This window comes from Homo sapiens, chromosome 9 (assembly GCF_000001405.40).
Source record: "Homo sapiens chromosome 9, GRCh38.p14 Primary Assembly".
Taxonomy (NCBI): domain Eukaryota; kingdom Metazoa; phylum Chordata; class Mammalia; order Primates; family Hominidae; genus Homo; species Homo sapiens.
In genome coordinates, this window is record NC_000009.12 from 96,029,882 (window position 1) to 96,041,442 (window position 11,561).

At 51.9% G+C, this 11,561-nt stretch overlaps 1 protein-coding gene across 2 annotated transcripts in view; it reads left to right on the forward strand.

The window, feature by feature from the left end:
• ERCC6L2 (ERCC excision repair 6 like 2) overlaps positions 1–11,211 on the forward strand; it is a 165,402-nt gene extending 154,191 nt beyond the window's left edge. For both annotated transcript variants that reach the window (NM_001375291.1, XM_047423357.1), the window contains one exon: positions 8,995–11,211. In NM_001375291.1, the coding sequence (NP_001362220.1) occupies positions 8,995–9,049 (55 nt within the window). In that variant the 3' untranslated portion in view covers positions 9,050–11,211. The remainder of the gene's footprint in view (positions 1–8,994) is intronic.

The following is an 11,561-nucleotide window of genomic DNA, read 5'->3' on the forward strand; positions in this document are numbered from 1 at the left end:
AGCAAACGACTCGCTGTTGGGCGTGCCTTTGCTTTGCAAGCTGACCAGTCCAGAGCCCGGACACCAGCCACCTCCTCTATTTAGCTTTTACACTTCCAGGAGGCAGCCTTCCTCTGCCCCAATCCCAGTGAGAGGTGAAGCCAGCTGGACCTCCTGGGTCGAGTGGGGACTTGGAGAACTTTTCTGTCTTACAAGAGGATTGTAAAATGCCCCAGTCAGCACTCTGTAGTTAGGATTGTAAAACGCACCAGTCATCGCTCCGTGGCTAGCTAGAGGTTTGTAAAATGGACCAATCAGCACCCTGTAAAATGGATCAGTCAGCACCCTGTAAAATGGGCCAATCAGCACTCTGTAAAATGGACCAATCAGCAGGACATAGGCGGGGACAAATAAGGCAATAAAAGCTGGCCACCCCACCCACCCAGCCAGCAGCGGCAACACGCTCGGGTTCCCTTCCATGCTGTGGAAGCTTTGTTCTTTCACTCTTCACAATAAATCTTGGTGTTGCTCACTCTTTGGGTCCGTGCCATCTTTAAGAGCTGTAGTACTCTCACGCCTGTAATCCCAGCACTTTGGGAGGCCAAAGCAGGCGGATCACGATGTCAGGCGATCTAGACTATCCTGGCTAACACGGTGAAACCCCGTCTCTACTAAAAAAAAATACAAAAAAATTAGCCGGGCGTGGTGGCGGGCACCTGTAGTCCCAGCTACTGGGGAGGCCAAGGCAGGAGGATGGTGTGAGCCCGGGAGGCGGAGCTTGCAGTGAGCCGAGATTGCGCCACTGCACTCCAGCCTGGGCGACAAAGCGAGACTCCATCTCAAAAAAAAAAAAAAAAAAAGCTGTAACACTCACCGCGAAGGTACGTGGCTCCAGCGACGCCACGAACCCACCGGAAGGAACAAACTCCGGACAAACCAGGACAACTGGGGCCCACAGGACAGCCCAGGGCACACCTCATGTATTCAAGCCATCCGATCCTAAACCTTCTGAGCCTTCATTCCTTCCGGGGAAACCAAACCGCAGTGAAGCCTTTGCCCAGGCTTTCCCCTCCCTGGTGCCTCCGGACAGGCCCTGGTGCTTGTCGCGCCCCCTGCTTCCAGGGGTCTGTGAGTATAAAAGCATCTTCCTTCAGGATAGTCATCTCAGTGTCCTCGTGTCTTCCCATACCTGATTAAAACAAGTCCCGGACACATTTTAAAGCACTGCATTCATGTCACAATTTCCAAAGCACCTGCTGTGTTTCGTGCACTGTTTTCAGTGTTGAGATAGAGCAGTGTCTGTGCAAGCAAGGTGCTGTGCTCAAGGAGCCCAGTGTCTAATGGAGAGAGATCATTCAGGAAACAGAAATATTTCCAGACAGGGTGAAGTGGTGTGAATACAATGGACCAGGGTGGGTTGTTTTGTTTTGTTTCTTTGGGCTTGGGGGTTGTTTTTTAAGGAACAGTGGTCAGGGAAGGTCTCCCTAAGGAGGTGACACTTCAGCCACAGTCCGAATTGTTCCTTGTATACCAAGGGCACCCACAGGTCTGTGCTAGGGGCCTTGAGGCCTCCAAAATAACCAACATGATGTATCTGCCACTGGTGCTCAGCCAGAACAAACTCTGTCCCTTTCCCAACAAGCAAAGTAGGGCTTCCATCCAAGAGAAAATAATTTCCCGGCATCAGCAAAGTCCACAGCCTGCTCCAGTCAAGTTGCTTTCCAAATGCTATAAAGCCAAGGCGCCCAAGCACCAGGATCCAGGGGCTGGGGTGGCAGCATGCCAGCGCCCTGAGGGCAGTGACAGCTTGCATGTGTGTTTACATACTGTTTGCAAATAAAGAGTAAGTGGGCAGATCCCTGAGCCCTCGTCACTTCCCACCATCCCTGGGGACCCACTGCCTAGTTCAGCTTCCCAGGAACACAAGCTTGACCCTGGGCACTGCAGACTTGACCCTACCGCCACAGGCCTGGTCTGGAAGCCCTCCTGCTTGCTGGGCACATCCTGAGTGGCCGTCCTGAGTCCGTGTAAACAGCAAACAGACATTCCCACCCCTTCTTTAAAAAATTTAGATCCCACTGACTTTGGACAACATTGCAGTCAAGAAAAGTAGAACAATTTAAATCACAAGCCCTCAACCTGTGGGTGGCACGTCATGAGTCACTGGCATAGCATGGGTCAGTCTCTAAGCCCATCAGCAGAGAGCGGGGGCTACTTCCACATCTCCCTTCCTCAAAGCTTCCAGGCTGTGGCTGGGTATCCCCGGCCCCGCCACCTCACCTTCCACACCGGAACCTTCCACACTCACCCTGAGCCCCAAAGCCAGCACCCCACACACCTCCCTTCATCAGGGAAAGGCCAGGGACCCCAGATCTGAAAAGCCACTCCCATGCCTTCCACTGGAAACCCCCAGGAACGAGCAGCTCCACTCATGTTGGGCAGCTGCCGCTAGGCCAGGCAGAATCAGCTCTACAAATGGAAACCACCCTCAGCGCCTTCCTCCGCATCCTCTTCCGCAGCCTCCTTGCGCCTCACCGTCTGTGTCAGTGACAGATCCTCAAAGAGCATCTCTTAGGAACTCGGCATGAATTGGCTGGAGGGCCATAGCTGGCTCTTTTACCTTTGCCTCGATCCAGAGTTTGCCTCCCACCACACACCTCCCTGGCGCACCTGCTTCTTGGGTGTTCATTCAGACACAGCCTCCGCTTTGGTGGGTGTCCTCCAGGAGCCCTTTCATCTATCAGGAATGTCACACTCCAGAGCCACAAAAACTCGAAGCCACCCCTCACACCTGCGGCAACTGAGAACCAGTTGCTGCCTCACCAGGAGCCCGGAGCTGGCAGAGCTGGAGAGGGCTTATGTGGGCCTAGAACGCAATGCTGGTCATCTCTGACATGCCATTGTCCTCTACAAACCCCACCTAGCACCTCATGGTCTGTGAAGGTCCATTCCCTTGTTTGTAGGTCAAATCTCAAATTCTCAAGGCTCCCAGCTGGCTTAAAAATGTCAACGATGACTCTTTCTACTTATCAAGCATTTTCTATTTCCCCATTGGAGCAGGAACCCCCACAGAGGCATGGCCCAGACTCGTTTAATCTCAAACCCAGGCGTCCAGGCTCGTGTGTCGGTGATTTAGCAGCCTGTACCAGTGGTATCTCCTTGGAGCAATCAAAGCTTTCATGGAAAGTGCTTAAATCCTATAAATGTAATGTATTTGCTTATCTACCAAATTATAATATTCATTTGTTTGTGTAAACCTGCCAGTCACCAGTCAAAAATATGAACCACAAGAAATTTTCCATTAGGATTTAGGCCCAGTCATTGTTTCCAGTTTGAATCTGACATATTATACCTGAGAGGATTGCAGGAAACCATAAATGATTCTGGGTTGTTTTTTTTTTTGAGACGGAGTTTTATTCTTGTTGCCCAGGCTGGAGTGCAATGGTGTGGTCTCAGCTCACTGCAACCTCCGACTCTCGGGTTCAAGTGATTCTCATGCTTCAGCCTCCCAGTAGCTGAGATGACAGGCACGCGCCACCATGCCTGGCTAAATTTTTTGCATTTTCAGTGGAGACAGGTTTTCACCATATTGACCAGGCTGGTCTCGGACTCCTGACCTCAGGTGATCCGCCTGCCTTGGCCTCCCAAAGTGCTGGGATAACACGTGTGAACCACCACGTCTGGCCATAAATGAATCTTAAATTCTACATTGAGTCTATGTATAACAGAGGTTTTTTGCTGTATACAAAACAAAAAGTAAAACCCAAAGTCATTACCCCCAGGAGGCTGGGATCTGGGTGCCCAGGAAAGAAGAGCTGGGTCTTGGAAGAACACTATCCCTTCTGTTTCTATCCATGAAATAAAAGGAGATGCCCCTTTCTGTCTGCAGTTGTCATCTGGCAGATTTTTGAGAAACAACTTATTTAGGGGGTTCCACACTCGATTCAAATCCAGATGCCCAGTGCAGAATCTGGGCTGTGCCTGGTCAAAGGCAGTGGTGATTTCACTGCAGAATGGAGGGAAGCATACCGGGGCTCAGAAGGCCAGGAAGACCATCACCTGCCTGGTGCAGGGACGTCAACTGCAAAAGAAGGGCCCGTTGTCTGCACCAGGATTTATGTGAGTGAGCAGCCAAGGTGCTCCGGGTGGCTGCCAGCTCTGAGCCCCGCTGCTCTCCGGTCACTGGGAAACCCATCAGAAACCTGGCCATTCTCCCAGATGCCGCCATTCTCCCAGGCTGAAAGAAAGGACATCCATCTTCTCAGGCATGAAGGCAAGGGCTCTGTGCTCCCATCTCAGTGCTGCACGCAGTCAGGGTAGGGATAGGAGGGGGGTCCGGCTGACGTTCCCCAGAGGGTTCACCTCGGTCCCTCTTGTCTGATGCCACCAGCACCTGTGCAGGCTTTGAAGGACACCTGTATTGCTCTGGTTTGTAAATGTGGATGTCGGAGGAAACTGTAAATGTAGGTGGAAGACACAAACGCATTGCAAGTGGCTGGAGGACCTTCCAGGCATCCCTTGAGAAGAGCCAAGGAGCCCACTTGCCTAAAGCTTCCTTCTCAATGCCCATCAGAGTGCCTGAACTCTTGCTTTTACAGCTTCTTAAATTTGCAAAGGAGGCTGGTGTGGAATGACCTGTGATAGTGGTGCTTAGACATTCAGGGAAAGCTTCCTGGGAGAGGCGGTCTTTGACAAACAAGCAAGAGCATTATGAGCAAAAGGACAGCAAGTGAGATGTAGAGGCCTCGGGCTGCTTGTGGGGAGCCAGCTGCAGCAGGAAGGCACGGCTGGGGCTGCACACTCCATGAAGCTGGTGGGAGCCCTGCCCCTTCTGAGTTTGGGTGGGAATTCCCTGGGTGCTGCTGCAGCTGCCCAAGCTGCAGCTGGGGACAGGGGCCCCACCCTCCTGGATGGGACTACAGCCACCCAAACTGTGGCTGTGGACCCGAGCCTCTCTGTGCTCTTGGAGGGAGCCAGGAGCAGGCAGGATCTGCCCTCCTGGATGAAGCTGCAACCACCTGACCCATGGCTGTAGACCTGGGCCACCCACTCCATGGAGCAGGCAGGAGCCCTGCCCCTTCTGAGATGGCTAGGGGAGAGCTCCCTGGGTACAGTTGCTATTGCCCTCCCAGGCACAGGACCTTGGCGTCTCTGTAGCCTGCACCCTTGGGGGCCTGGGAAGGACTCCCCATCTCCTCTACCACACCCCCCATCCCTGCAGGCTCGGGGGTGTCTGATCCTACTGCCTGTCCAATCCCACTGCCTGTCCTCTCTCCTCTCCCAACACCTGCTCAGATCTCCAAGTGGGATTGGTGCTGAGCCTGGGGCCATGAATGGCAGCAGGAGGCAGACAGATTCCTGAGCAGAAGGGGGCGGGTCCCAGTAAGGCCCCTTCTTCAGGCCAGGGAATGCCTGAAGGCTAGGGGCTGGGCCACTAGTCCCGCTGACCAGAGTGGAGATTCATGGTGCCTCTTCCGAGCCCGCCCCTGGCTGCCCATGGACCAACTGGCAGGCACTTCCTCTCCTCTGAGGGCCATGAAAGCCTGGTGCTCAGCCAGGGTAGAGGATGGCCAGAGACAGAATATGGCAGGGAGAGGTTAGAATGGTCAGCCAAAGAGAGGAGCTACCCTCTCCACTGATAGCTTCAGAGATCTGCAGAGAGAGTGGGGCAACCTGCCAGACAGAGAGGAGCTACCCTCTCCAGGGACTCCTCTCTGCTGAAACCTGAACACTCGACAGAATGACCTGCCTGCCTACAGAGGGGAGCTATCCACTGTGGGTCTCCTCTAAGCTGTTCTAACACTCAATAAACTCCTTTTCATCATCTTCACCCTTCACCTGTCTGCATACCTCAGTTACCTCATTGTACCTCAGTTACCTCTTTCTTCCTGGATGTAGGAACACTGGACAAGATAGGCAACAGGTTAAGCTTGCTCTAGAAAGGTCACTGTGGCCAGAGGTTAGGAGATGGGTTGAGGAGGTGGGAGAGTGGAGCAGCAAACCAGTGAGGAACCCAGGAGAAGCTGAGCCAGGGCAGTGAGTCTGGAAGCATCTGTGATGTGCAGTGAAGGACTCCTTTTGCTTCTAATCCTTCTTAGACTGAAACTTTCGGAAAATAAATAACCAGACAAACACAATTTTAAAAGACATACAAAATACAAGTCCCATTTTTCTTCAAAAATTTTTGTTTTAATTGGGGTAAGATAACACACATTTACCATCCCAAACATATTTAAGTGCACATTCCAGTAATACCCACACTCACACTGCCATGCTGCTAGTCTCCAGAACGCTTTCCTTTGGCAAAACCAAAACTACCCATTTAACAGCATCTCCCCATTTCCCGCCCCCAGCCCCCAGCAACAACCCTTCTACTTTCTGTCCCTATGAATCTGACAACTCTATGTATGTAATATAATTGGAAGTACACAGAATTTGTCCCTTTGTGTCTGGCCTGTTACACTTAGCATAATGTCCTCAAGGTTCATCCATGTCATAGCATATTTTGGAAATTCCTTCCTTTTTAAGGCTGCATAATATTCCACATTTTGTTTCTCCATTCATCCATTGATGGACACTTGGGTTGTCCACCTCATGGGTGTTCGTGCTGCTCTGAATTTGGGTGTTGATATCTCTTCAAGCGCCTGCTTGCCATGCCTTGGCCACATACCCAGAACTGGAATTGCTGGATCACCTGGGAAGTCTAGTTTTCATTTCTTGAATCACTATACTGTTCTCCACGGAGGCTGCACCATTTTACATTTCCACTGACAGTGCACAAGGGTTCCAATTTCTCACGTCCTTTCCAATAAGAGGATTAGTTGATGTTTTTTTCCTAGTAGCCATCCTAATGGGTATGAGGTGAAGCCCCATTTTTTTAAATTATTATTATTATTATTATTATTTTTATTTATTTTTTTTTTTGAGACGGAGTCTCACTCTGTCGCCCAGGCTGGAGTGCAGTGGCGGGATCTCGGCTCACTGCAAGCTCCGCCTCCCGGGTTCACGCCATTCTCCTGCCTCAGCCTCCCAAGTAGCTGGGACTACAGGCGCCCGCCACTACGCCCGGCTAATTTTTTGTATTTTTAGTAGAGACGGGGTTTCACCGTTTTAGCCGGGATGGTCTCGATCTCCTGACCTCGTGATCCGCCCGCCTCGGCCTCCCAAAGTGCTGGGATTACAGGCGTGAGCCACTGCGCCCGGCCCCATTTTTTTTAATTATTAGACTCAAAAGGTATAAAGTTACCCTGCCAAATTTCTGTAGTAGTTTAAAATGCTTACTCTCACCTTCTACACTTACCTCACTGCAGACCAACAACAAACACTTCTGGAGCTGGCCAGCCCTTAGGTAGCATGGCCTGGCAGTGCCCGTCCCTGTGCGTGGAGAGGAAAAGCAGTCGGAGCTGCTATTGTCAACTGCACACATTGATTGTGTGATCAACACAGCAGCCCCAGGAGGTAGCTGTGGTATGATCTCCAGCCAACAGATGAGGAAACAGTAGCCCAGAGAGGCCGGGGGCCTTGCCTGAGTCAGCAGGAAGGAGGGTGACAGAGGCAACAGTGAATCCCATGTATGGCCTCTGCCTATTTTTGTTATTATTGTCTTGTTTTATTTTCCAAGATAAATTAACTGATTGGTCATATCTGGGGGAAGATAGAAGGCCCTGAGGTTCTGGCCTGAGTAACCAGGTGGAGAGAGATGCTGTCCACCAAAGCAGGAAATACAGTCGGGGAGGGCATGGAGCCAGGCACATGTCGAGGTAGAAGTTCAAGTGATGTCCAAGTGGGAGCAGGGCCAGGGAATAGCTTCTGAGCACCTAAACGAGGACTGCGCCAGGACAGCAGGTGAGGAATGCTGGGGCAAGGATGAAGGATGAGTTTGGTGAGATCCCACAGAGAGATCAACAACATTCTAGAAAGAAGCAGAGGAATGAGGTGGCAGGGAGAAGGAGGAGCCAGAGGAGATGGGAAGAGATGGAGAGAGAGAAAGTATCAAAAGGAAAGAGGTATCAACAGGTGTCCAGGGTGGCGCAGGGGCCACAAAGAACAGGTGATCTAGTATCTATGGATTTGGCCATGTGGTGGCCCTTGACGGCTGGAATAAGGGCAGAGCAGCTGGTATCATGGAAGCCAGGAAGGTAGAGGCTGGATTGGCATGCGTGGGTAGGTGGGTGGTGGTGGGAAGTGGGGAAGAGAGCAGACCACTCTTTCTAGAAGTTCTGCTGCAGAGTCAGGAGACCGTCCCTGAAGGGCGGGTGTGAAGTTCTTGTGTGGAGGAGGGATGTTGGGCCAATGATGGATTATTATTTTGTTTTAGCTTTTTTAAAAAAAATACCTGGAGCAAAGTTGCATTTGTTTGTATCAGGCAGGGGAGGCAGGAAGGCAGAGCCAGTGGAAAGGTGAAAGACTGGGAGGAATCTGTGATGATTGCTGGAAGGATGTAGAATGATCAAGCCCGAATAAAAGGAGAGAAGCCCCTCTTCCCCCGAAGTATGTGGGAAGACAGTCTACACTGCAGAGTCGTATGTGAGGAAGCACATTGCCGCTGAGCAGGGCAGGGAGTGGTGTCTGGGCACTGGGAGAGAGGCAGGCTTTTGGAACAGCAGTAGGAGTCACCTGGGCCTGAAGAAGGCCAGAAGCAGAAGGAGCCCAGCGGGGCCAGAAAGCACACATTGGCATGAACACATGGCCATCTGGGATTGGTCTCCCTCAGGGCTTAGCTGCCCTGCCCAGGGGCAGAAGCAGAGGTGTGGATGGTGACTTTGTTCGAGTGAAGGCTTCGCAAGGCAGCTCTGGCTACAGTCAAGGGGCAGGAAAGAAGGGTGACTGCTGTCATGTGGGAGAAGAATGAAGTGAACTGTGGTGGTTTTAAAATGTGTCTGCAGATTCTTTGATCTTACTCTTTTCAAAAGGTGGAGTCTAATTCCCCTCATACCGAATGGGGGCTGGACTTAACGATTTGCTTTTAATGAACAAAATGTAGCAGCAGTAACAATGTGTGACTTCTGATTCCAGGTCACAAAGCTCCTTCTCAAACTTGTTCTGGAGGAAGCCAGCAGCCATGTCATAAGGAAGCTCAAGCAGCCATATGGAGAGCCCACATGGGAAGGGACAGAGGCCTCCTGCCCACAGCCGTGGAGATGAACCACCTTGGAGACAGCTCCCCCAGCCCCAACACACGCAGATGATCATGGTCCTGGCTGACATCTTCACTGCAACCTCACGAGAGACCCAAGCCACAACTTCCCAGCTGAGCCCACAGATGTGGTATGAGATGATGTGCTTGTCGGCTTAAGCTGTTATGGCTTTGGGGTGATTCGTTAGCAGCACTGGATAACTCCTGCACTGCCTAAGTGTGAAGGCAAAGAATGTGGAGCATGGGGTGGGTCCCAAGTGAAGGTTGGGCAGGCGAGCCCCAGCCAGAGGTGCAAGGGGCCATGTGGTGGAGTGATTAGTGGCTTGAGAAGAAAAGATTGAATGGGGCCAGAGGAAATGGAGGAATCATAGCACTGGAGGTCCCCATGAAAGTAAAGATGAGGGCTGAGGCGTAGAGAAGAGAGTGGAGTTTCCTGTTTGAGAGAACGTTTCTGGGTGGATGTGGCTCAAGGTGTGGCAAAGTTTGGGGAGGGGGAGGGTCAGTAGAGTCGTGACCCCTGGACAGTGAAGCCAGCCAGGGTAGCCAGGGTGGCAGTGGGACTTGGCTTGGGGAGAAAGACACACCTTCCAGTGCCTAAGGCCTCAACTTACGGGGGAGTGGTGGGGACTAGAGATTACAGGTGGTGAAGGTGGCCTCTTGGGGTGGCTTGACCCTGCAGGGAGGTTTTCCCAAAGACAGGAGGCACAGCTGCCTGTAAACACCCAAGAGAAGACTCTGAAGGCCAGCTCCACTCCTTCTGGCTGCAGAAGACAGGGAGTGAGAAGGGTCTCTGTCCCCCAGGGCTGCACAGAGGATGGTGTGGCCAAGACAGAGCAGGCTACAGTGGACAGGCAAGCGGCAGGGCTGGTGCTGAGTCACTCCACAGTGTCGAATCTACTATCTGCAGGATGCCAGGGACACCAGATAAAGATGTGGTCCAGGCCGGGCATGGTGGCTCACACCTGTAATCCCAGCACTTTGGGAGGTTGAGGCAGGAGGATCACTCGAGGCCAGGAGTTCAAGACCAGCCTGGGCAATATAGCAAGCCCCATCTCTAATTAAAAAAAAAAAGACATGGTCCTTATCTAGAGGAGAAACAGAGAGCAAAGGTAGAGAAGCCCTCAGAGAAACTGGGTCTCCAAGAAACACAGTCCTGCCCCCCCCCAAGCACCCCCACAATAGCTCTTTATTCCCTGGGGACCTCCCAGCTGTGATGGCCGCCAGCCTCTGCACTCTTCCTGCTCATGTCCTTGTCCCCTTTTTCTGGGCGTCACGTCCTCCCTGGGCACGACTCTCCCACTGGAAGTCTCTGCTGCTGTGGTCACGAGACGTGACCTGGAGTCACTGCTTTCTCTGGGTCTAGCTTGTTGGCTAGATCCTCTCTGCCCTTAGGTGAGTCTTCTCAGGAGGCCCACGGTTCCTCGTGTGAACCAATTCTCATGAAGGCCTGGCCTCTGATTCCAGGCAAGTCTGAATCTAAACTGGCAGAGCTCATAGCCAGGCGCTGGTGCCCTCGGAGCTCTGCATATCTCCCCCGAAATCCTGGGATCTGTCCCTATGTGCTTAACCCCACTAAGGTTCCTAAGTCCAGGCCTATCCACAAGGCCAAGGGCTTTCACAAGGACAATGGTGACTCCTGGGTGGTCCCTGCCCCCTGCCATGACTCTTATGTCCGTATGCGTGGCCCATGGCCACACCTCATGGGGAGATGACAGGAGCAACGGCATCTGCAGAGACACTACTCCATAACAAAGCCAGAAAGAAACGCCTTCTGCAAAACACTCTAGAAGTGAAAGGAGAGGCGAGGCGTGCCCTCGGCCATCAGTTTTATCCCTTTGCTTTTGTAGTTGTTTAATGTTGAGACAAGTCAACTTGAAGCTGTATAATAAATGAATTCCAGCTTGAGCCTTGGCAGGGTTTGTTTGTCTTGAGGGAAGTTGTTTATGCTAATGGGCCCCCTCTGCAGAGCTGGATTTATATTATACAGAGTCTTGTCCATCATCTGGATGCCGCTGTAAACAAGATAATCTTTGTCTACCAAGAACGAGCCCGATGCCAATAACTTTAAATAAACATGAGCCCCAGGTTTGTATTTACATTGTCTGAGGTAACCGCTGGCGAGTTTGTCACGGCGCCATCGGCCCCTCCCTGGCTAAGGTAGCTTCGGCTTTCCCACTGACCTTGTTTTTAGAGGCCTCACTCCGGGAAAGGATCTCATATTTAGCAGATGAGCGCTACACCCCGGGCTGGGCTGCATTCTTTTGCATGGTTTTGGCATTTTGTAGTTCTGTCAAGTTAGCATAGCTTCCTTTTGTACTGGATAGAGCAGGACATGGGTCCGGGGCAGGAGCTCAGACATGGAAATGACATCATAGACCTGAGCTCTCAATTCCCTCGATGGCCAGGCTGCAGGTGCCAGTGGGCTCCAAGGATTCTATTATTAATA